Source organism: Homo sapiens, chromosome 17 (assembly GCF_000001405.40).
Source record: "Homo sapiens chromosome 17, GRCh38.p14 Primary Assembly".
NCBI lineage: Eukaryota > Metazoa > Chordata > Mammalia > Primates > Hominidae > Homo > Homo sapiens.
The window spans coordinates 6,595,562-6,622,167 of NC_000017.11; the positions used below are offsets into that span (position 1 = coordinate 6,595,562).

Below are 26,606 nucleotides of genomic sequence, written 5' to 3' on the forward strand. Positions count from 1 at the left end.
GCGATGGAAAAGAAAACGCTGAATTGAGAGTCAGGAGACCTGGATTCTCGTTCTGGCTCTGCCAGGATTTTTTTGTGACCTTGGCCATGTCACTTACTTCCTTATTGTACCTCATTTTCCTGCACTGAATAATCCAGGGGTTAGGCTGGGTGAAGCAGTATCACAGAAATTGAAGAAGATAAAATTATCTGTGATTTGATAGGATCACACTCCAGCTGGGAAGAGGAGGCAACTGAACAGTACGTACAAGCTGACAGATGCAAAAGCCTACGATTCCACTTGTGGGCCCAGGCCCTGGTCTCAGGGTCTTCGGAATTACACATCAGTGATATCGGGGGATAATAATAATGGTCACTTACTGGATTACATGGCAAGCAGTGCGCTGAATACTCTATGCCTCTTTTTATCCTTAAAACTCCCTACTTATCAGAGGGGTTGACGATACCAAGGTCATACAGTTAGTTGGCAATAGAGCAGGGATTTAAAACTGGGACTGTGTGACTCTAACAGATGAGGCTGCAGAGGCATGAGGAGAAATTGCACTCGGCAGAGGCCAGCCCCTAGCAGCGAACCAGACCCGGAGCCCCAGACCTTACTTCCATCTCTTCCATTCGGCGCATCATGATCTCCAGATCTGGGCTATCCTTGCTGTCCTCAACGGTGGCTAAGGTTTCAGACCCCAAGATCTTAGCATGAGTCACAGCCCAGAGCTCACTGGCACAATCTTCCAAAAAATCATCAAGCTGACGAATGTTGTTGGATTCAAAATCAACAGCTGCAACCTACAAGATGGGGTGGGGTGGGGAGGAGAGGCATGGGGTGGATTAGGGGTGGGAAGGTGATATAATGAAAACAGAAAAACATAAAAATTATTGTTAATCATAATAAACCAACAGCATACAGATCCAAATGGCAGAGTTTCTATGGTAAAACAAGATTCTCCTAAGTCAGTAAGTATCAAAAGCAATAACATCAGAATGATTTTTATCACAGTCATTTAAATGATAGCATTAACCAAGTAATACCATTATTGTCCATGCAAATTATCATTATCATCTGTTTTTCCAGTTGGTAGAACAAATATCTTCCTTTTGCTACATTCAGGAGAATGTCCAATATTTTACACGTCACACATTCCAGAGGATGTAACTATTCTCTTTTGGTGCAGTGCTTCTGTGAAAACGTCTGCTCATATGACATCACAAAGTTCAGGATTCTTTGTCTTTGAAACTCTGTACCTATCATCTGGGAGAGCTCTACCAGCCTTTCTTGACCTGGTATGTTGTACATTCAAAAAGCACTTTCCAGTTTCCAAAGCAATTTTACATGCTCTGTATTTCTCTTGATTTGAATGCATGTTTATAATCTGCCCTGAAAGAGGCTTTTGCAAAGAATGTTTGCTGGGGGAATTAATTATATCAGGCAATAGGATGAAATATTTCTAGAATTAAATTCTGGTTCTGCCCATTCATAAGCCTGCAAATTTGGGCAAGTTTACTTGACCTCTCCGGGCCTCAATCCTCTCATGTGTAATATGGAAATAATCTTGTATTTCAGAGCTGTAGGGATTTCATAAGAGCTTGCACGCTGAGACACTTAGCATAGTGCTCGGCATGAAATAAGACACTCAATGAATGGTTACAGCTACGGCAATTTAAGAAACCTTTAATGATTCACAGAAGAAAATATGTTAATGGCCAATAAAGATATGAAAAAATGTCCAACTTTCATCAAAAGTTAAAGAAATAAAAATCAAACTGAATAACCAATATAATAAAATTACAAAAAAATCAAGAGACAACCAATAATGCTTGCATGTGTATATTTTCCATCTATAAAGAATGGAACACCAAAAATACTATGTCCCATTAAAAAGGATAAGGAAGGTCTCAATGCAATGATACAGAAAGAGCACAAAAATATATTATAAATAAAGAAGCAGAGTATAGAACAGCATATGGCACCTGCTTGTGGGGAACTTTTCATATACTTCTTCTGAATTATTTAAAATTTTGGCCATGTGTATGTATAACTTTTAATTCTAAAAGAACTCATACATTTTGGAAAAATATATACTTCATGTGCCAGTTCAGTTAATGACAACAGTAGCAGCAATAGACAGATACGTTATAATGGTACCTTTACAAGAGCTTTTTCCTGATATGAGAGATAATCTTGCCTATAAGTAAATCTACAGAGAGCTGTATTTTACTTGCAAATGTCTCCTCCATTTTAAAGATGAGAACACTGAGAATTTGTGTTCAAGGTCTCCCAGGTCTTTTATAAGTTAACATAGTAAAAACAGTTTTCTTCTTCACCATGCCAACTTTGATGAGTTTGTTTGCTTTTGTTTGTTTTCATTCAGTTCTTTGTAAACACTGACTCTTGACGGTGCTGCCTGGAATACTCTGCAGTGAAGCTGCTATTTAACAACAGCCCAGAATTCTAAATACTACACAGAGTTACTTTTCTGTTTCAATAAATTGTATTAAACATCATGTAATGCCTACAAAATAATTCTAATATACAAGGCTGATCATTCCTAGTATACTCAAACATGTCTATTTCACTGCCAGCATTCATAATCACTTCATTTTCCTTTCATATTAAAGTGCAGTATGGAGTGGCCTCTCTGGGTTAAATGTTAGCCTTACTATTCCTCTAGAAAAAAAAATATATCATTTAGTGGCCAAGCTGCATAAAACACCAAGCCATAACAGCTGAATTTGTAATGGCCAAATGTAGGCTTTTAGCTTTCAGTCTTAGAAGCCTCACCTCACATCAGATTATGTCATAAAACCTTGGTACGATAAAGTTATAATCACAGAGATTATGAAAATATGTTACAGCTGAAATATTGCTTAATAATCAGAATAGGGACACATTCTTGAAACCTACCTTCTTCCTGCCCCTAAGGTCACTGGGCCAATGGAGCTTCATTCCAATTTCCTTCTGCTCTGAAACCTAAGAAGGAAGTTGGAATGAAGCTTCTTTTCCTTGCTCTGGGCAATTAAAGCTATAAATATCTTTCCAAACTCCACAAAGATTAAATGGATGCAACTTGCACCTTCTGCTCTGCAGCTCTAAGCCTAGGCAAGGCAGAAACATTTCTACAAATATTAAAAACAGGTCCTCCAGAGGAAGAGTACAGAGTGGACAACAAGAAAATGTGCTTTTATTTTTCTCAAATGTTCTCATTTTTTTCCTGGGTCACCTTTTTCTCTCTGCTAGACCAGATACTGGTCACATATTAGGCACTCAAAACATGCTTGCTTAACAATAAATATTAGGCCCCAAGTATAAAGAAAATTAGGACAATAATGAGTGAAACTAGGCTGAATGAAAGGAAATGAGGGCAGGCAGCCATTCTTCTGCCGCAGGCCACCAACATTCAGGGCCACACAGGGCACCCACACTCTGTTATCCAGAGGAAGGATAGAGCCACTAACAAAAACCTGTGGCTGTAAGATTTTTGTGCTCTGTTTGCAGGGCTGACCTAAGTCATAATACTAAATATACACTGGAAGAATTAACATGCCAAATGTGAAAAATAATATTCATACTTCTTGAGTAGGATAATCTAGTGTTTGCAAAGTAATCTGTATTTCATTTTCATTACAACTAAAGATGTTATCAAGCAATAATACCAGAATGCCAATATCACACAACGCATACCTCCTGTGCAGGCTGGGCTTTCGCTGTGTTTACTGACGAGCCATCTTTCAAATGAATATTTGCTTCTGTAGTAGAATTGACTCTCTATTAAAACAGACAAATACATTCATGGAGTATAAAGACTTATAGCTCCTATTAGTACAAATGAATTCTATTACCAGAATGACTTGTGTGGAACTATTCATCAGCTTTAGCTACATTAGGCTTTTTGCAGCAATTCAAAGCACTTTGTCTTCATGGAAACAAATGCCATGTGTTGATCTTGGCTTTCCAGCCTTTTTCTTCCCTCAACTCTGTAAACATTGTCAGAATAGCTGCATGCTTTATGCAAGTCATTCAACTTCTCTGTTCCACAGCTTCCTCAATGATAAAATGAGGAAGTTGAACTACTTGATTTCTTTTTTTTTTTTCCAGCCACTCCACAGCTCAAGACTACTTGACTTCTAAGAGTCTTCCTAGTTCTATGCTACTGAGATTTCCATGGACTCTAATACAAATTTAACATTTCTCTAACTAAAAATAGAGAAGTTCAGTGGCCTGTTTAGGGACCCCGAATGTCATTCATTCCATTTAAATTTATAATATTCTTCTGTGGCCTCATCTAGTCATACACACAAGATTGCTTCTATTTACAGGGTGGAGCTACAGGGTCTGGCTATAGAATTGAGCTTACTGCTTATGGGAGGATGGCACAACCTCTTGGTGGTACCATCTATAATTTCATCCTCAAGAAAGTACTGGATTGTGCACAGAAGCTGTCCTAACATCTCTCTCCTTTGGAAAAATAGAGCTCATCATTCCAAACCACTGAGGTGAAAAAACACAGCATTCGAGTGAAAGCTGCTAATGGAACACTAACTTCACCAACAGATCTATTTCACTCGGAACAGGGATTACAATCCCAACTTGTTTCCCAAACTAAAATCTCAACTTTCTCAAAAGGAGGACTTTCCCCTTGTCCCTTTATCTCTATCCCTTTTCCACAATGGAGGGCATATCAGTAGTGTGTGGTGGTCTGGGGGTATCTTCCAGATGCCACAGAGACACTTAGCCCTATAAAGGATCAATGAGACCTCTGCAGCAACTCATTTTAAATCCAGGACTTCCAAAAAGCAAGCAAATGAAACGAACTAGATAGATTACCTGGGCCTTGACCAAGAGAGGCTTCAAACGATCCAGAACTGCCTCCTCTACCTTGTCTGCTAAGTGGGTGGCAGAAACACTATTTAGAAATAAAATTGAAAATTAAAATCAAAGGCAATAAAATATCCTATTTTGCATATTTATTTGCCACTCCAGGAGAAGGGAAATAAAATGACCACGAGCTTCTCTAACCGTTCATGGCCATATCAATCTCCTGGGGATCTTGTGAAAATGTAGATTCCAATTCAGTTGGTCTGAGTAAGGCCTGAGAGTCTGCATTTCCAACAAGCTCCTAGGTGATGTGACAGTGCTGTTCCTAGGCCTTACTTTATGCACAGGGATTTAGGTAACATCTGAAGTGTGTAACGCACTGAGTACACTTCAAAAAAAATAACGGTTGTCATTAACAGCTAAAGAGGGTAATCAACTAAACAAAAGAAACTAATTTTGTTCCCTCTCCAAATCCCACTAAAACAACCATAGAGTTAGCTTTACACCCACAAGGATAAGGAAGAAAAAAATGGTGCTGGAAAACAAAGGACAAAAGTGATAACTAACTTAGCTGATCTGAGAAAGCTGACTTCTCCCATCCAAGTACTAACCAGGCCCAACCCTGCTTAGCTTCGGAGATCAGACGAGATCGGGCACATTCAGGGTGGTATGGCCGTAGACAGGAAGTTGACTTCTAGGGCCAGCAGTGGGAAAAACTAGAACCCACACAATTTGTACTGCTGACTTAGGCACATGACTGGTAGTACCAGGTACATCTAGGCCTGGGCTAAGCTGGGAGGGGGTGGTTTAAAAACTGACGACAACAGCCAAATGATGTTTGAGAAATTAAGACTCCTAGATCCCTTTCCCTACTTCACACAACTATACAGCCGCCTCTTTCCAACTCTAGGAGAAGTCTGATGGCTCATTCTCTGTGTGAGGGTCTCTTGACTAGGGGCACCCAATCACAGTTGAGGCTGTAGGTACCATACTGAAAAGAGGCAGCGGTCACGTATGCAGGCTAAATGCTATGTTATTAGACTCACAGCCCTCTTCCCCAACTCAGCTCCTAGGAAGCAACATCCTGATCTTACTCTCTGGGCCAAAGATCAGAAAACTTCTCTGGGCAGTCTGACCCAGGCCAAAGGAAAGACCTAAAGACCAACATAAGTGTCCTTAACAAACAGTCCAGGTGTTACTTTCATCAGATGGTGTTGGAATAGCCAGATATCCATTAAAGAAAATGAATTTCGACCAGTATTTCATCTCATACACAAAAATTAATTCTAAATGGATAACAGACACAAGAATAAATGGTAAAACTATAAAATACTTAAAGGAAAACATAAGAGAAAATCCTTGAGACACTAACATAGGCAATGATTTCTTAGCTAGTTCACCAAAAATGACTAACCAGAAAAGAAAAATTGATAAACTGGTCTTAATCAGAATTTAACACTTTTAGTCATCAAAAGACACCATTACAAAGATCTATGGGCGAGCCATAGTATTGCGAGAAAATATCTGCTGCACACATATCTGGCAAGGGGCTCATATCCAGAAAATACAAAGAACTCAAATCAACACTTAAAAAAAATTCTAATAGGCAAAAGACTTGAACACACACTTCATAATCAGCACTAGAAAAGGTGCCCAACATCATTCGCCTTCAAGGAAACACAAATTAATACCACAAAGAGATACCACCACATTCTCACCAGAATCACTAAAAGACTGACAAGCTCAATTGTTAGCAAGGATGTGAAACCAATAGAAACGAACTCACATGCACTGCTGATGGGAGTATAAAAAGCTACTACTCTGGATAATGCATATGGCTCATTTAATAAAATCAAACAACTGCCTATCCTATTACCCAGAAATTATACTCCTAGGCATTTACCCAAGAGAAATGAAAGCATATTTCTACAAAAAGCCTTGTGCAAGAATGTATGTAACAGCTTGATTCATACTAACTATAAATGGGAAAGCCCAAATGTCAATTCACAAGAGAATGAACAAACAGAATGTGGTATATTCCCACAGTGGAATACTACTCTGCACTAAAATGGATGAACTATGCTGATACACACACAATGTGGATGAATCGTAAACATTTTCTTGAGCAAAAGAAGCCAGACACAATGGGGTAGATCTTGATGATTCTATTCATATAAAGTCTGAACAGGCAAAGCTACTTACAGTAAAAGAAATCAAAGCAACTGCCTCCGTGAGGGATGGGGGTGTGGAGTAGAGAACGACCAAAAAAGACATGTGGGTACTTTCTAGGTTGAAGGACAAATTATCTATCTTGATTAGCGTTTTGGTTACCCAGGGATATGCATTTGTCAAAATTCATTGAACTGTACCTTTAAGTTCTTTGCATTTTACTATATGTAAATTATACCACGATAGAAACAATTATTTAGAAAACTAAAATACTAATTCCAACCCACATACTCTGAGTTTTTGATCGGCAATCACTCCCCCTACGTTTAAACATGAGAAGATAGCCAAGATTACTAGGTATCTGAGGAAGGAAAAAAAAGATTATGTAGGTCAAAAGGCAGAGGAAATGTGTTAATATATTCAGAAAGAAAACAGCACTGAATCCATGAAAGAAGGACAGGCGACCACTAAGTAAGAGATATTTGGAGAATATAATAGAGCTCTCAACATTTTTAAATTTTAAAATTTAAACACTGGCAGAAATGACAAACTCAATAGGTTAAATGTTAAAGTTGGAGGAAATCTCCTACTGGGGGAGGGTAGGGGTAGAGGTAGAAGAGGGAAAAAAGAAAATAGGAAAAAACAGATAAGAAAATCAGAGGACCAATCAAGGAAGTCCAACATCAAAGAACAGGAGTTTCAGAAACAGAGAATAGAGAAAACAGAGACAAGAAAAAAAAAGTACAAAATAAAGCACGAAAACTTCTCAGAATTAAAGGAAATAAATTGCCAGGCTTAAAAGGTCTACTGATGAATGAAAACACACCCACAATAAGTCCTATCATTATGAATCTGAGATACCCTGGGGAGAAAGCAGAGTCTGTGAGCCTCTAGAGAAGGATAAAAAGCAATTCTGATTTCTCATTGGAAACAAGCCAATGAGCAGAAATGCTCAGATTTTTGCTTCTGAAGAGGCTGAAAAATGTACTTTCCACTCTTCTTCCTGTTAATTACAACTAAGAATCCTGGACATTAAATATATGCAAACATAAGAGGACTCGGAGAGAAGTAGAGAAGGCACATCACCTAGGGACACTGGGACCAAAAGAATGACAGAGCAGTGAGTTCTTTGGGATTTCTCTTTGCCTTATATTTCCCAGAGTAGGTACTGGAGAAGCCGGCAACCCAGAAACACCAATAGGCACAGACAAAAAATAAGTCTTCAGTGCAAATAAAGTCTGCTCTCTCTATCAAAAGGACCAAGAAAGGGGCAGCCGAGAAAGATGGAAAACTTAGAAAATAATTGCTCTACTGCAGCCAAACACTGCAGAAAAACCCATGGCCACATGCCAGCAAAGACTGAGTGGAGAGCAAACAAGTACATGAAAAGATGTTCAGAGGCCACTATACACCCATCAGAACGCCTACAAAAAAGCAGAGTGACACCACCAAGTGCTGACAAAGATGCAGCACAACTGGATCCCTCAAACACTGCTGGTGGGAACAGACAGAGCCACTCTGGAAAACAGTATGGCAGTTTGGAACAAAGCGAAACAAAACATACCACTAGCATACAACCCAGCAACTGCCCTCTGGGCATTTATCCCAGGAAAAAAGGAAAACTTATGTTCACACAAATACTTCTACAGAACTGTTTATAGAAACTGTATTCATAATAGCCCCAAACTGGAAAAGAACTCAGATGTTCTTTTTTTTTTTTGAGACAGGGTCTTGCTCTGTTGTCCAGGCTGGAGTGCAGTGACATGATCATGGCTCACTGCAGCCTCGACTTCCCAGGCTCAAGTGATTCTCCTACTTCAGCCTCCCAAATAGCTGGGACCACAGGTTCAGATGTTCTTGAAGAGGTACATGGTTAAACTATGGTTTGTTTGTATCCACACCATGAATACTACTCAGCAACAAAAAGGGATGAACTACTGATACATGTGATGAGCTCCATGAATTTCCAGAGAATGATGTAAAGAAAAGAAGTCCCCAAAAGTTACATACTATACAATTCCACTTATAATAACACTCTTGAAATAACAAAATCATAGACAGGGAGAGCAGATGAGTGGTTGCCAGGAGATATTTAGCCAAGCAGTGAATGGGGGCAGGAGAGAAGTGGGTGTGGCAACATGAGGGCTCCTTGGGGGTGGGAAGGTTCTGTATCTCGACTATACCAATGTTAATATCCTGGTTGTAGTACTGTGCTGTAGTTTCCCAAGAGGCTAACATCTGGGGAAACTGGGTCTTCGTGTGACTCTACGATTACCTCACAATAAGAAGTTTAATTAAAAATTTCCAATAAAAATAATCTTCTATACCCAGTAAGGCTACCAGCAAATATGAGATGGTTTATCAGCTAATAAAGACATTTTCAGACTTGAAAGGTCTGAAAGGATTTACTTCCCATTCATCCTTTCTCAAGAAGCTAAATTAACCTATGCCTAACCCCAGCCCTCCGGGAGGCCAAGGCAGAAGGATCACTTGAGCCCAGGAGTCCAAGACCAGCCTGGGCAACATAGTGAGACCTTGTCTCTAACTTGAAAAAAAAAAAAAAAAAAAAGCAGCAGCTACATTAGCATGTGCTCCATCAAAACAAGCAAGTAAACTGAAGAAGATTACAACACAATATGGGAAATGGGAGGTCTAAGCCTAGATTCCTGGCTTGTCTTGCCCCTTTGCTGATGAAGTTTCTCCTACTCACTGCAGACCTGCTGTCTGCTAAGGATAGTCATCCCATCCCCACAGTAGCTGACCAGAAAGAGCTGAGAAGCCGTGCATTACAGCGCAGCCCCTCTCCTGACAAGGCTTCCTCCCGAAGTCCAGTGGACCTGGCTCACCGACAGGCCCTCCAGATGGAGGACGCCCTGTGTGTGCAGGACTCACTCCCGACCCTGCTCAGTGACCTCCTGAGAGGGGCACCTACAACTCTCATGAAAGCACAAATCAGATTAGGATCCAGGCTCTGTTCAACCTGTCTTCCCCTAGGAGTCTTCATCTGATACTACCAGAAACACTGCCCTTTCCATGTTCAGCTAGATTTGTGCCTGTTTCTCAGTTTTCAAAATTAAACAAGATATTGTTAGGGATACACACATAGTTGACAGATTTATGAAGAAGAGTAATGAAAAGATCAACACAAGAATCAGGACAGTGGCTGCCTCTCGGGGGAAAGGGGATGCAACTGAGGAGGGATACACTGGAAACTTCTGCAGCAGTGGCAACGGTCGATTCCTTGACTTACGATGGTGGTGCGTGGATGTTCATTCTGTAATATTTTGGATTGCACATGTGCATTCAGTATGTTCTTCTATATGTGTGATATGTTTAATTTCTGAAGTAAAAACACACAGAGGAATAAACGGGACACAGAGGATGAAGCTTTTGCTATATGGCCCAAAGGACAAGTGGGTAAGAGTCACAGAGAACCAAACTTCAACACAGCCTGAGGTCACACCTTCTTAGCTATAAATGACCATGAAATGTATTCCCTCTGACAGTAGTGACTATCCCATCACAGAGGGTGTGTGTAAATATACTGGACAGTTCCTTGGTGGAGATAGTAGAGAGGAGCCAAAAGCCTCAGTTGGGGGGAAAAGATCCTTCAAATCCCAAGATTCTGGGATTGTATGACTTGAAATCTTTACTACAGACAAAAAGTCTTGGCCTTCTAATGATAAACCCACAGCCCTTCTAACCTGAGACTGAACACTCCATCATGAATGGTGACAGAATGCACAGATGTTTCAATGAGTGTTCTGTTAATGTGACTATAGGATGAATTATTATCAGAGTTGGAAAAATGAGGTAATTGCAGCAGCAGCTGAACTAAATCTTTTAACAAGCTTCTTTATGTCTATAGTGCCTATAGTTTAAAAAACACTTATGGAGTGAATAGAAAAAGGGAACCGCATTTGAAAACCATAGCCTGCACTCAAGCTAACATACGAAACTAAAGTAGCTATATGTTGATTCACATGAGCAGAACATGTATGTGCATCATACTCATCTTCTGCCCTTAGAAGGACTGACATCTGGCTAGAGAAAAGTACCTTTGAGGGTAGTCCAAACAAATACACATAAGACTCTGATCTTTCAGACAGAACTTCTCTACAATTACAGATTTTTTTCAGTTCTCCTTCAAACTCCACACAAAAGAAGCATTTCCTAGCAAAAAAATATGGTATAATATACAGGTAGACATGCAGCTATTCATTCATTCATGTAATGAAGTTAGGCCTTAACAGTCCAGGTTGGTTGCTAGAACTATCTAGATCAATTAGAACAGGCAAACATCCACTATTCTTCCTAAGAAGCAAACACATACCTCAATTGTTGGAGTCTATACATTTCTTCAGCTTTGAGCTCATTCAGTTCCTTTGTTCTTCTAGAAGTTTCAGCATCAAGCCAATCAAGCCTAGAGAACAGTATCAAGAGTCACCCCAACTCTCCTCAAGGCAGAGTCAGGGCTCCCTTGAGCTCCAGTCTTGGCTCCCCCCTTGGCTTCTTAAGTGACTTCAGTCTTTTAAGGAGGCAGAAGTGTAGCTAGACCTAAATAATCTCTATTTATCATTAATGTATAGAGATGTAGAATAGGCCTGCTTACCTTTTCCTAACTCAGAAGCAAATATTTACCTCTGTTTTTGCATGCTGTCAATTTCCTTGGCTTTTAACTCTTCTAGTTCCTTCAATCTTTTGGAAGTTTCAGCATCAAGCCAAGCGAGCCTAGCAGACAGTCAAAAGAGTCAAACCAATTCTGCCTCGACACTGCAGGGTGTCATCATCACAGAAACAGACCAGAAATCAGGACCACTGCAGAGCAGAGCACCAATCCAGGCTCTATTAAGCTACTCAGTAGGTAACATAATCTCTCCGTACCCCTAAAGCTCTCTAGAACGTGTTCCATGTCAAAAAACATTAATGCACAACGCAATGAGAACCTGTCTCAAACGTTCTCAAGAAAACCAGCTATCACTCAGACTTGGGGTTTCTTATTAGACTCAAACAAAACCATTGCTATATCTTCAAGTTGAGACAAACAATGAGCCCCCAGGAGCCATATAGGCATGGTGAAGTCAAATAAAAACAAAAGGGAAAAGTTAACTGTGAACAACTCTGCTGTATGTAAAAGTGCTTTGATTCTTTTGGTTTAGGATATATGAATATTGTCAAATTATTTAATGGACCGCTTTCATTTTTGTTTTCCCATAACTGTAAGAATAATTTCAGCCAAATGAATACAGAGAAACCTGTTCTCACTGTTCTCTTCTTATGGAATGTTCTCACCTCATCTCCCATATTGAAATCCTGCCTGTTCTTCAGGTCCTAGTTTAATTTCCATCCATGAAGCCTAGACCTCTGCAGCCAGAAGTAACCCTCCCCCGTTTCTAAACTCTCTCAGTTCCTAGGTTACATACCGTGTTCTATCTTAAATTATAGTTAATTACATAACTTCTCTATTGACTATAAATAAGCAAGGGCTGGGATTATGGCCTATTTGCCCTTTTTAAAGTCTCCATAGAGCTCATAACACTGTCACATACAAAACTAGCAAGTGATATATAATTGACACATATATAATTTATGAATGAATAAGAAAAAATAGAAGAGCTCACTATAAGCTATATAGTTTGACTGAAACGTTTAATAAACTACATTTTATGTATTTATTCTATTTTTAAAAATAATCTACATTTTAAATAACCAACTTTAAATGTAGGAAAGAGAAGAAAGGGTTCACTTCCAAGTCTATGTAAAAGGAGCTCTTTAATTCTCAAAGATCTGAAAAATACCAGCACAAACCTGGCTGCTTCATGCTCAACAGCACCTGTCAGGTGACTTTCCTCTTGAGGATCTTCTTGCTGGAGAGGCTCTTTTGTGGCATCTCTGGGGCTAGTTTTCACCTTTAGCCATGCAGCACTGAAATAAATGGAAAAGCATACCTTTGTCATCATTCACTCCGTATCCAATGACTCATCCAAGTAGGTGCCAGCTCAGAGATGACAACAGCATTAAATTAATGGTGATCTGTAGCACGGGGCCCTACAGTAGAAGCTGAATGTGAAGAAAAGTGAGATCCTCCCGCACTCAGGCACAGTGTCAAAGGGCAGAAATTCTCCTTTGCTTCAAAGAAGCCATCACCATTTTAAATGAGAAACAGTGATCAATTACAGAATATTGGGTGAGTGTCAACAAAACTCTGTCACAATACATAGATTTGGATCACTAATTACATTCCATATTATAAGGCAACTCCGTATCTTTATAAGGCCTAACAGCACTGTTGAGCCTAGAAGCCTCACCCACCCTCCTCTACCCACCACACATGCACTCTAAAAGACAGTCCATTGTATATTTGGTTTGTAATACAAACTTCAACCACTGAGCTTATCAACTGAATGTAAATCTCCATATTAATACTTGTATACAAAAATACAGAAAACAGAATAGAGTAATAAAAACAAAAAAAGCACATTATGAAGTCAGAAGACCTGATTTTAGGTCTGGCTGTTACATGAATAAGACATTAAATTCTCTAAACATTGTTTCCTTAACTTGAAAATGAGAGTGGATGGATGAGCACGGCCATTCCTTCACACTCATTCGGAATCTTAGGGGGCTTCTCTTCCACCAAGCTGCTCACCCTGACTTCTGATGGCTCCAAAGACAGAACCCTGTAGTCACCTATCTTCTCCCTTCTCCCCTGACATGACTGCTTTTTACTTCTTTCCTTTTTCTGTTCCACCTCCTGGTCCTTTCCATTGTGTTTTCAAAAACTACTGCCTCACGGCAAACGAGCTCCCCTTTATCTTCAACCGATTCCCCTAAAGATTATTTCCACCTAACTGGACCCTGCTCCTCTTCTCTCTAGCCCTGTGAAATGGCAGCTTCTCATTCTAATGTGCTATGAGTGAGGATGACAAGACAGTAACATCAACATTATCCTAATTGCTCCCTGCAGCTAAGACAGTGTTGGTGAGATCTATATAGTTTTATAGTTCATAATTATCTTGACTTAGAGTTAGAATTATTTTAAAATATTTATTTACTCAGCAAAGATTTACTGAATGCCTACTATGTGACTAGCACTGGACATTCAAATATAAAAAAGAATATAAAAAAGACACAGTCCCTGGCCTCAAGTTACTAGAATCTATTGGCAGAAGAGACAAGTGAAGGGAAGCCCCCCATCTTCCATTCAATCACACATGTCCCGGTGTTGGGGTGGCCCATGGAAGGGTGTTCCAACCACAGTCAGGCAGAAGAAGGAACCAACAAGCTTCCAGACAAAGACTTCTCATGTATGACTCACCCAAAAAAGGATTTCTGCTTAATGGAAAAAATTAAGGCTACTACTTAATTTGCTCCTTATAAGCTACAGGTCACCTTTGATATATGGAGGAAAAAGAGCATCACATACACAAACGGTCCCTTGAGTTTTCACATACCATTTAGGAGACGCTGGTGGGGATGTGGGGTTTGGGGGTATCCATGGTGCCTTGCGGTCTTTCACAGGCTGCCGGTTCATTTTTAATCTGGATGAAACTGTTGTCTGCTGCACTCTGCTTTTACTGTGAGGTTGGCTTTGTCTACCTCTTTCAGCTTTGCGGAGTCCCTGTGAGAGATAAGTAAGAATTATAAGGCCACACAAATACCAAAGAAACTATGGTTTAACCTCTGACTCACTGAAGCTCCAAGTTCTCCATGTTATTCATGCATCCATTCGGTAAAACCTGAGTAGAAAGCACTGTGGCAGAAATTTGGGGGAGGGTGTAAATTTCATTGAAACAACCATGGTAGGGGCGGGGGGTGGAGGGTGTAGAATTTAAATCCCTGGCTCTGCCTGACACCTTTAAACATATAAACAATATATAAAATATATTTTTATTTATTCACAATTTGTTTCCTAATTAAACAAAAAAAATTTCATACCATATTGTTAAATTATTTTTCTTTTTTCTTTTCTTTCTCTTTTTTTTTTTTTTTTTTTTAAGAGACAGGGTCTTGCTCTGTTGCCTAGGCTGGAGTGCAGAGGTATGATCATAGCTCACTGCAGCCTCAAACTCCTGGGCTCAAGCGATTCTCCTGCCTTAGCCTCCTGAATAGCTGGGATCACAAGTGTTAGATACCATGCCTGGCTAATTTTTTATTTTTTGTAGAGCCAGGGTCTCACTGTGTTGTCCAGGCTGGTCTTGAACTCCTGGGCTCAAGTAATGAGTAAAACATTTTTCATAAAAATACTTAACCTCTCTGGGCCTTAGGTCTAAATAGAATGAATCTAGCGATTTAAAAAATGTTATCGAGAATGCGGGCTGTCTGTGGAGAGGCGCACCCATCTGAATTCCTACAGGTTCAATCTTGACATCTCAATGATTCATGGTCGCCCCCTGCCATAGAAGTTTGGGAAGAAACAGACTTGATCCTAATCCATTATCTGTCAATAACTTGGGATAACTGCTAACTCTCCTTTTCTGGAGGCCACCTGAAAATAAACAGATTTGCTAAAGAAGCCTTTGGGCAAGACCACCAAATGTCACTAATACAATAAGGGTATTCGACCAGGAGGTGGTCTTTTGGCCAGTTTTCCACTGATAGGGCCATAAGTAAGTTTTAAACAGAAGCTTAAAATATAATGTAGTTTCAAATCAAGTTGTACCCTGCTGGCTCCCAAAGCCATATTAGAAAGCACTCACCCTAGGATGCCCTTTTAATATGCAGTAATTATTATTGATCGATATTTATCTTTAGCAGGAACTAATTTTTTTTTTTCTTTAAGACAGGGTCTTACTCTGTTGCCCAGGCTGGAGTACAGTGGATCGATCACAGCTCACTGCAGCTTCAAACTCCTGGGATCAAGTGATCTTCCTGCCTCAGGCTCCCAAATAGCTGGGACTACAAGCATGAGTTACCACATCTGGCTAATTTTGTTTTTAGTAGAGATGGGGTCTCACTATGTTGCCCAGGCTGGTCTTAAACTCCTGGCCTCAAGCAATCCTCTCGCTTCCCAAATTGCTGGGATTATAGGCCTGAGACACCACACCCGGCAGGAACCAAATCTTAATCCCCTCAAGTCTCACACTTCCAAATCAGAAGCAGAAAAAAAACTGAATTTTAAAATCTCCTGCCCAATTAGGATATTGGTATCATATTAGTTAGGATCTTACCAAACCAGGAATAGAAAGAATTCTCTATTCTAGTAACAATATTAAAAATTGTTATTTTTTTGTTAAAATATATAAACAACTTAAATAGCCAGACTCAAGGACTGCAGCATCCAATTGCCTGAGAACTGGCTCCACCATATACCAGTTTATGTGACCTTGACAATGTCAGATTAACACAAATGGGCCAAAAGAGAGGAATGATTTCATACTTGCTGTCTTGCTGGCGCCAGAGTATCTTTCTTCCTAAACGGCACATTCTCAGTCACAGGCTTCTTTTTCCCTGCTTTTGTTTTTGCCACGGCTAACACCTCGTCTTTGAAGCTTGCACTTTGGTCTAGAATAAATGGTCCTTCTTCCAGAACTATATCCGCATCTAATACATCAAGCTCACTCTGCAACCTCTGGGTCTCCGGAAGCTCCGTATCGGGCTGATACTTATCTACATGGAAATTTTTGAAAAACAAACTGAGGAAAATGCTATTCAAATCAAATTGCTGAGAATGATTATCTACACACAGATAGGCTCCAAATACCTATCCTAGCCCTGCTGAGAAGCAGATGTTTTGTTGTCAACATTGTTCCTCCTCCTATGAATATTACTGCAGGTTTATAAGCAGAAACCTAGGTGTCACGGTTGACTCCCTGAATCTTCGCTATCATATTTACTCATTTACCTGGTCCCTTTGATCCTAATTTTAAAATAGCTCTTACATTTATCTCTGCCCTTCCTTCCCTTTTGCTATTACCCAAGGTCAGGCTTGCAGTATCCTGTGACTGGAATAACAGTGTCTCCTAACTGATCTCCTGTTTATCTTCACACTGTCTTCTGGCTACCAAAATTGTGCTTCTCAAATGTAATATTTAAATGTCACTTCTGGCCAGGGGCGGTGGCTCACGCCTGAAATCCCAGCACTTTGGAAGGCTGAGGCAGGTGGATCACCTGAGGTCAGGAGTTCGAGGCCAGCCTGGCCAACATGGTGAAACCCCATCTCTACTAAAACTACAAAAATTAGCCAGACATGGTGGCAGCCACCTATAATCCCAGCTACTCAGGAGGCTGAGGCAGGAGAATCGTTTGAACTCAGGAGACAGAGGTTGCAGTGAGCCAAGATCATGCCATTGCACTCCAGCCTGAGGGACAAGAGCGAGGCTTCATCTCAAAAATAATAAAAATAAATACATACATACATAAATAAATAAATGTCACTTCTATACTCAAACCCTTCAATGGGTCCTAATTTGATAGAGAATAAAGTCTGAACTCCATATAAGACATTCAACCTGCAATGGGAAAGGAAATAAAGCTGTCTATTTGAAAATGAGACAATACAGAAAATCAAAGAGACTTTACAGACAAACTATTACAGCTGAGAAGAGGGGTCAGCAAGGTTTCTGAATATAAGAAGACGAAAACATAAAATCAGTATTATCTCCATATATCAAAATAACTAATAGAAAATATAAGAAAAAAATCTCATTAACATGACAACAAAAACTACAAGGCACGTTGGAAGAAATCTAATGAAAGAAGTACAAGGCTTTTACAGAAAAATTTATAAGGTAAAGGACACGAAAGAAAATCTAAATAAATTGTTTTCATGAATGAAAAGACCATAAAGATGTCAGTTCTCCCCCAAAATAATCCATAATTTCAAGTGCATATTCAATTAAAGCCCTAACAGATTTTTTTTCAAGGATCTAAATAAGTTGATCCAAAATTCATACAGAGTAAAATCCCAGTAGCCCAAATAATTTTGAAGAACAACCAACAAAGTGGGGAGTGGATGGAGGCAGGAGTCAACTCAACCAAAGACAAAGTCTTAGTGATAAAACATTAAAGGCAGTGTGGGAGTGATGCAAACACAGGCAGAAATCAGCGAGACATCATGGACGTGACAAAGGCAGCACGATAACTCAGTGAGTCTGAACTGAATTGTTCAAAAAACAGTGTTAAGACCACTAGCATCCACAGAGAAAAAAATAAAACAGAATCCTTGCCTCACATTGAACACTTAAAGTTTAAATGGAATGAAGGCCTAAATGTGGAAAGAAAACTTTAAAACTTTAATTAGAAAATATAGCAGACTATCAGTATAACACCAGGGCAGAAGAGACTTTCTTAAAGCTCAAATATAATACTGACATATTTGAACTTAATTGGACTAAACTACAACTTCCATTTGACAAAAAGATATCCTTAAAGTCAATAGACAAGCCAAAGTCCAGAAGTAGATCTCTGCATAATTAACATAGGACTAATATCCAGACTATATAAAGAACTTCTACAAAACTATAAGACAAATAAACAATCCAATAGAGAAATAGACAAAGAACAGAAACTGGCAATTTAGACAGAAAATCTGAATTGTCAATAAAAATATGAAAAGATGATTGACTTCACTAGAATCAAAAATATTCAAACAATGAGATATCATTTTAAATCCATCAAAAGATGTGGAAAAACAAGTACTCTCACAGACTATTAGCAACTTGATTGTTCTGGTAAAGTTTAAGATTCATATACACTGCAACCCAGCAATCTCACTCCTAGGTATATACTCAGGCTAGAGGAACTCTCACACGTGCACAGAGGAAGCCAGGAACACAGATATTCATTTCACTTCATCATTGTTTATAAAAGCAAAAAACTGGGAACAACCAAAATGTCCATCAATAAGAGCTGAAAAATAAACTATGGTATATTCATATAAGGGAAACCTATACAGCAGTAAAATTAATAAATGAGAATTCATGTATCAATGTATGTATCAATATGAAAAAACCTTACAAGCATAAGTGGGGGGGGGTAAGCAAACTGCAAAATGATGCATACTGTAAGATATTTACATAAAACAATACTATATATGACAGATACACAAGCAGTACAAATGTAAAAACAGAACTCGTCTATAATAGAATGACAATAGTAACTTCTAGTGAGGGAGAAAAGAGAATGGAATGAGGAGAAAAATACAAAAGGGGCCTCAACTGTACTGCCATCTGGTTTCACTTTCCTCAGTTTCAGTTACTCCTCATCAGCCCTGGGTCCAAAAATATTCAATGGGAAATTCCAGAAATAAACAATTCATAAGTTTTATTTTATTTTTGAGACGGAGTCTTGCTCTGTTGTCCAGCCTGGAGTGCAGTAGTGTGATCTCGGCTCACTGCAACCTCCGCTTCCCAGGTTCAAGAGATTCTCCTGCCTCAGCCTCCTGAGCAGCCGGGATTACAGGCATGTGCCACCACGCCCAGCTAATTTTTGTATTTTTAGTAGAGACGGGGTTTCACCATGTTGGCCAGGCTGGTCTCAAACTCCTGACCTCAAGTGATCCACCAGCCTCGGCCTCCCAAAGTGCTGGGATTACAGGTGTGTGCCACCACGCCTGGCTAATTTTTGTATTTTTCAGTAGAGATGAGGTTTCACCATATTGGTCAGTCTCGTCTCCAACTCCTGACCTCAGGTGATCCACCCACCTCAGCCTCCCAAAATGCTGGGATTACAGGCGTGAGCCACTGCGCCTGGCCCATAAGTTTTAAAATGTGTATCCATGCTGTAGACGCTCCCTGCCTGTTAGTCACCTAGTAGCTGTCTTGGTGATCACAGCAACTGTCTCGTATCAAACTGCTTGTGTTCAAGTAACCTTGAACTTGACTTCGTAATGGCCTCAAAGAGCAACTACAGTGATGCTGGCGATTCAGATATGCTGAAGAAGCTGGAAAATGTCCCCTTTAAGTGAAAAGGTAAAAGTGCTCCACTTAATAAGGCATGTTGGCAGGTGCCTGTAGTCCCAGCTACTCGGGAGGCTGAGGCAGGAGAATGGTGTGAACCCGCGAGGCGTAGCTGGCAGTGAGCTGAGATCATGCCATTACACTCCAGCCTGGGCAACAGAGCGAGACTCCGTCTCAAAAAAAAAAAAAAAAAAAAAAAAAAAACCTAAATCCTCAGTCTGTAATTTATTTAACTCCCAAGCTTATATACATCAAAGCAACTCTGACTGTAAGTCCTGTTACCTTTCTAGTAATGATTTGCATAAAACAGCATGTTTCAGGAGTGAGTTTGAGGACACTGCTGGTGGTGGGAAGGGAGCCACCACCCTCATTGCTGACAAGTTACACTAATGCAATCAACCAATTTAAGAACAGTTCAGAAGCTGCAAAAAAACTGCACCAGCCAACTATTATGTAAATCACAAGACAGCTGATCAAATCAGGCTCAGGAGTATATTCCAAATGAAGAGTACACAGGGAGGGTTTTCCATCCAAGTGGCTCCCTAGAGTATTTTTTCAGGGGTGGGTGGGGAAGAGGAGACCTTAGGAAATCAGAATGGAAGAATAGGGTAGAGTGATACCTAAAACAGAAACAGGAAAATGTAACCTTCTGAAATCCAGATAAGGACAAGAAAAAACAACAAATATAAAATAAAACTAAGAGGGCTACCATAATCTTAAGTGTTTTACTCAAGGTTCCCAAAGAGTGGCAGAGCCAAGTCTTCTGGCTTTCGGTCCCAGGCGAGTCCCATTCATTCTGCCTTGTCAGGGCCCATGGAGCTGTTCCCCATAAATACATTTTCCAGAGAACTTAAGTTTACTTCTCTATGGCCATGTAAAACTACTTTTAAAATAGCCACCAAAGATTTGTTTTCTTAGTTAGAATATGCCTAACACAATCTAGCCTTTTCTTAATAACTTGGTGCTATTATTAAGAACTAAAAATGCCACCTTACATTTTTACAGCAGTTAGCAATTAGATAATTTGCCACTTACAACAACTAAGTCAGTCACAAAACACAAAGACTATCCTTCCCATTTTACAGATAAAAAACTTAAGATTCAGGCTGGGCGAGGTGGCTCACACCTGTAATCCCAGCACTTTGGGAGGCCAAGACAGGTGGATCACCTGAGGTCAGGAGTTCGAGACCCGACCAACCAACATGGTAAAATCCTATCTCTACTAAAAGTACAAAAAATTAGCTGGGCAGGGTGGCACATGCCTGTAATCCCAGCTATTTGGGAGGCTGAGGCAGGAGAATCGCTTGAACTCAGGAGGCGGGGGTTGCAGTGAGCTGAGATCGTGCCACTGCACTCCAGCCTGGGCGACAAAGCAAGACTACGTCTCAAAATAAATAAATAAATAAGATTCAGACAGATTAAGTCAACCCAGATTCACAAACTGGCAGAGGTGGGACTAAAATCTAGGTCTCCTTGGTCCAAGTTTCCCCCCTTTGCCTCCCAGCTTTCCTACATTTGTTCCTGTAATGAGTTTTAGGTTAGCAGGTTTTCCAGCTTCTCTCTGACACTGGTGTCCATTTTTCACTAGTCAGCTGATGGGCACCTCAAATCTTCTACCTCATTTAGCAAACACTTCTCTGTGTGCAGGCCTGGAATGCTCTCTCCATTTCCTCCAGTCTATCAAAATGAGCTCCCTAGCACCCAGAACTCAAGTTACTGTGATTTGCTGCTCAGAGATCTTTTCTTATTCAATTACACTTCTTCACAGAGTCTTTCAACAAGCACTTAAGTGCCTAACTGTGTGGCAGATGCTGGGCTCATCATAGAGGATATAAGGACAAATAAATGTGACACCCACCCTCAAGGGAAAGGCTGGCAAAGGCAGACTTCTAATTAGAAGGAAGATACTATATTACTTCTACCTGCCTACCAATGAAGGAGAGCGAACATCCCATTAAAGTGAATAAATATCTAACAGTAAATGAATAAATTAGGTTTTTATTGTAATATAATAAAAAATATACATCTGGTCTCTAGCCCAGTTTCTGGCCCAGAGCTCCTAAAACCCTTCTAATTTCCCAAGCACTAGGGGTGCTAGGTTCATCTTTTTTCCTAATATTTGGTCTTTAACCCCAGTTCCTGACACAGAGCTCTTATCCCTTGGAATTTCCTAAGGAAGCATTTTGTTTTGTTTTTTCTCTAATAAGGTGACTCTTGGAGGACTCCTGGATGGGAGCTGGTCACCAGAAAGACCATGCCATGATTAGAAGCTTGGAACTCCCACTCCCATCCTCCATCCTCCAGGAAGTGGAGAGGGGCTGGAGACTGAGTTCGTCATCGATCATGCCTATGCGATGAAGCCTCCGTAAAAATTCTGGAACTAGCTGGGTGCAGTGGCTCACGCCTGTAATCCCAACACTCTGGGAGGCCAAGGCAGGCGGATCACCTGAGGTTGGGAGTTCAAGACCAGCCTGACCAACATGGAGAAACCCCATCTCTACTAAAAATACAAAATTAGCTGGGCAAGGTGGTGCATGCCTGTAATCCCAGCTACTCAGGAGGCTGAGGCAGGAGAATCACTTGAACCTGGGAGGCGGAGGTTGCAGTGAGCCAAGATCACGCCACTGAACTCCAGCCTGGGCAACGAGAGCGAGACTCGGTCTCAAAAAAAGAAAAAAAGAAAAAAAAAATCCCACAACTACAGGGTTTGGGGAGCTCCCAGGATGGTGAACATGTGGGGGTTCCTGGAAGGTGGCTCCCCTGGAGAGGGCATGGAAGCTCTGTGCCCTTCCACATATTATAATTTGTCCTACGCATCTCTTCCATCTGGTTGTTCATCTGTATCTTCTATAACACCCTTTATGATAAATGGGTAAACATAAGTAAAGTGTTTCTCAAAGTTCTGTGAGCCATCCTAGCAAACCCCAGGAGGGGGTCAAGGGAACCCCAATTTTATAGCCTGTCGCTCAGAAGCATAGGTCACAACCTGGGACTTGTGACTGGTGTCTGAAGCTGGGGTCTCTTATGGGACTGAAACTTAACCCGTGGTATCTGACTCTAATTCCAGGGAGATAGTGTCAGAATTGAGTTGAATTACAGGATACCCAGTTGGTGTCCCCTGGAGAATTGTTTGGTGTGGCAAAAACCCACACATTTGGTGTCAGAGGTGAAGTATTGAGAGTCTTACGTAGGAAAAACAGTTTGGTTTTTCTGTCTCTTACAGTTACACTTGTAGTAGAAGTGGAACACTAAACTATTAAGGTTCCACAGAATAGTGGCAGATTGAGAAATAAATCAACTGAATTCTGGACTGATATATATAACTTTCAAATCAATGAGAAAAAAAGAAATAAAATATTGATTAATGTAGTAAATTACAACAAAGAAAAAAACTTCGGCAAATGAAAAACAAAATCAGGTAGAAAAAAGTTCAAATATGTCATTAATCTCATTAAATGTAAGTAGATTGAATATAGAACTCTTAAAACAATTAAAAACTCCAATAATAGGCCAGGCGCTGTGGCTCATGCCTGTAATCCCAGCACTTCGGAAGGCTAAGACAGGTGGATCACTTGAGGTCAGGAGTTCAAGACCAGCCTGGCCAACGTGGTGAAACCCCGTCTCTACTAAAAATACAAAAATTAGCTGGGCGTGGTGGCACGCACCTGTAATCCCAGCTACTCAAGAGGCTGAGGCAGGAGAATTGCTTAAACCTGGGAGGCAGAGGTTGCAGTGAGCCGAGATCACATCACTGCACTCCAGCCTGGACAACGGAGCGAGATTCCACTTCAAGAAAAAAAAAAAATCAGAATAATCTGGGGAAGATGAAGAAGATAAACATTGGAAGGGGTAACTCAAGGGGGTAATTTCTTAGATGCCGGTAATATTCTATTCCTTGACCTGGATAGTAGTTATACAGATGTTTTTGTTTTCTGGTAATTAATTCAGCTATAAATCTATATTATTTTGTGTACTTTTCTATCTGTAAGTTCTACTTTTTTTTTTTAAATCAAGGGTTCACTCTGTCACCCAGGCTGGAGTGCAGTGGTGCAATTTCACCTCACTGCCACCTCCATCTCCCAGGCTCAAGTGATCCTCCTGCCTCAGCCTTCCAAGTAGCTGGGATCACAGGCATGAGCCACCACTCCCGGCTACTTTTTGCATTTTTTGTAGAGACAGAGTCTACTTATGTTGCCCAGGCTGGTCCCAAACCCCTGGGCTCAAGCAATACACCTGCCTTGGCCTTCCAAAGTTCTGGGTTTACAGGCGTGAGCCACCACACCCAACTTGTATGTTCTACTTTAATTTAAAAAAAGAAAAAAGAAAAAAAACAAACTTTACTGGACTTGTCCATACATATTTATAGGTGATCTCATCTATCTAGAGAAATAAAAGAGTTAACTAACAAAGTCCCGTATTTCATCAAATCTAAAACATCAATTATAAGACACATCAGTATTTTATACATCACCAGGAATTTTTAAATGTTTAAAATGTTTACAATTTTAAAATGTTACAATTAACTACAAGTTGTCATCAATTAATAATGATTTCAGGAGCATTCAAATGTGTACCTCAGACCAACAAAATGCAGTATCCTAACATATACATCCATAAGCAAAATACTTAGAACCCAGCAGGGAGATGGATAAAGAATATGAACAGGCAAATTACAGAAGAGGAAATAATATGGCTAAGGAGCATGTGAAGAAACGACAACCCTCACCAGGAATCAGAAAATGTAACAGAAAACAAGAAGATGCCACTGTCCACTGATACTGGAAAGCTTTTAAAATTTTATTATATAACATACTTGGTGAAGATGTGGGGAAATATATACTGATGTCACTTCTAGTCAAGACATAAATGTGTGCCCACTTTTAAGGGGCAAGTTGGCAGTATCTGTTTAAATGTACGTACTGTTATCACCTAACAATTCCACTTCTTAGAATAACAAAAATTTATCTGAGGAAAAAAAAATACATATATATATATACACATATATATATAGAATGTATGTGTGTGTCTCTGTGTGTGTACATATCTCTGTCATTAAAATAAAATAAACTTTTTTTAAAGTAGGGTTCTAACTTCCAGCTCTATGGGAATTTGCCTTGGGTAGCCCAAACACTATGATGTAGCAAAGGAAATGTTACTTTCTCAACCTTCCTCTATAGAATGCCTCCAGCCCCAGGAAACATCTTGGTTGCTATTTACTGATCCTAGTTAAAGTTCATCTGTTGTGGGCTAGGTCCTAAATCCTGACTTTCCCCTCAGTGCAGTAACTGTTATAGCCCAGATAATTGTAATGAATAAAATGTCTTACAATAAACACTTTAAGACACATACCGGCAAGAAGCTGCTTTGCTACAGAAGGTCGACTTGTTTCCTGTGGGAATGTGTCCTTTGCTGTGAGGGGCCTCCTCTCACCCTTTGGTGATGTACTTGGCCATCTCTCCAAGGCCTTTTGGCTACCGATAGGAAATCTGCTCCGAATTTCACTGAAACATTTTTTCACCTTTTTTGGTGACAGTTTCTTTTCCAGGAGAGATTCCAAAGCCTGCCACAAAAACAATCAATTATTCTCTTAGTTTATCTCGCAAAAGTATGACTTTTAATCACAAAACTGAAAATAAGGACTCCAGGGAAATGTGTTATTAAATGGCTATCTCTAACAGTTAACACAATCTTAATTAAAACATGTTATTATTTAGGATATCTAATTAATTAGTAACAATTTCTGTGAGTACTTTCAGATGTGTAGCTCACTAAAGCCAATAGCAAAGACATAATGAATATGACTACTTTTAAAGGCATTCAAATCTTAAAGGATCATCATTTTAGAAATTAACTATAGTCTTCAGAATATTATCCCATCTGCTTCAAAAGCATTTTAATCATCAACAAAAATCTCATAAACTCAGTCTTTTAAGTGGGCACACATACTGTATTTAACATACATTTTCCTGAACTAAAGACCACTTAATAGGTCAATAAGAGTGGAGGGTCTGTGTCTCACCTTCCTAAAAAAAGGCATTTCCTCTAATAAGTTCCCACCCATCCATTACTGGGAAGTCAGGGCCCAGTCTCCACCTGGTCAGGACAGATTAAGGACAACTGAACACGGTCAGGAAGATTTAGTTCAGAGAACAGTAATATAGTAAGAAAACATGCTGTGAAATGATGTAGGGCCACAAGAGGAAAAATAACACATTTCTTGCATTTTGAAAAGTAGGGGAGATAAACATTCTGTTTAAGAAACATTAGGTTAAAGGTACTCTTACTCAAGCTCAAAATGTAGGAGAGGGACTAGAGAGTTTCTTCAGATCCTTTATAGGATTATGAAGATGTGTACTCTAAATTATTTTGGCCAATAAATGTTTCTTACGGATACGTTAAAAAAGCATCACATGACTTGAGATGCTGCCTAAAATTCTGAGGTCTGCATTTGACAACAGCATTCCTCACAGTGAGTTCTATATACACGAATGTAACCAATGAAAATCACAAACACATTTGCTTGATAATGAAACTGTGAAGGCAGAAGTGGCCTTAAAGACCACCAAGAGCTGGTTAATGGTGGTAGAACTGGAGTGTCATTTAGTCTAGAATTCTCTCCACTATCCACCTTTCTTCTACAGCTAACAGCTTACTCTGCCATGCTAACATAAAGATCACCTTTCTATTTGTGGATGAAAATGTATGGCGTAGGGGAACTAATACTAGCAT

General features: G+C 39.9%; 1 protein-coding gene and 1 pseudogene across 15 annotated transcripts in view; both read right to left on the bottom strand.

Moving 5' to 3' along the window:
• Positions 1-26,606, bottom strand: part of KIAA0753 — a 62,565-nt gene that overhangs the window by 17,415 nt on the left and 18,544 nt on the right. For 8 of the 15 annotated variants that reach the window (XM_011524096.3, XM_011524090.4, XM_011524095.3 and 5 more), the window contains 10 exons: positions 25,227-25,437; positions 16,358-16,587; positions 14,433-14,599; positions 12,787-12,903; positions 11,620-11,709; positions 11,312-11,401; positions 4,819-4,897; positions 3,676-3,759; positions 2,899-2,964; positions 597-782 (listed from right to left, as the gene is read on the bottom strand). In XM_011524096.3, coding sequence (XP_011522398.1) covers positions 597-782; positions 2,899-2,964; positions 3,676-3,759; positions 4,819-4,897; positions 11,312-11,401; positions 11,620-11,709; positions 12,787-12,903; positions 14,433-14,599; positions 16,358-16,587; positions 25,227-25,437 — 1,320 coding nt within the window. Of the gene's footprint in view, positions 1-596; positions 783-2,898; positions 2,965-3,675; positions 3,760-4,818; positions 4,898-11,311; positions 11,402-11,619; positions 11,710-12,786; positions 12,904-14,432; positions 14,600-16,357; positions 16,588-25,226; positions 25,438-26,606 lie in introns of those variants that run through there. The other 7 variants (XM_047437193.1, NM_014804.3, NM_001351225.2 and 4 more) reach the window with 3 other exon arrangements.
• RNA5SP435 (RNA, 5S ribosomal pseudogene 435) lies at positions 5,383-5,490 on the bottom strand (annotated as a pseudogene).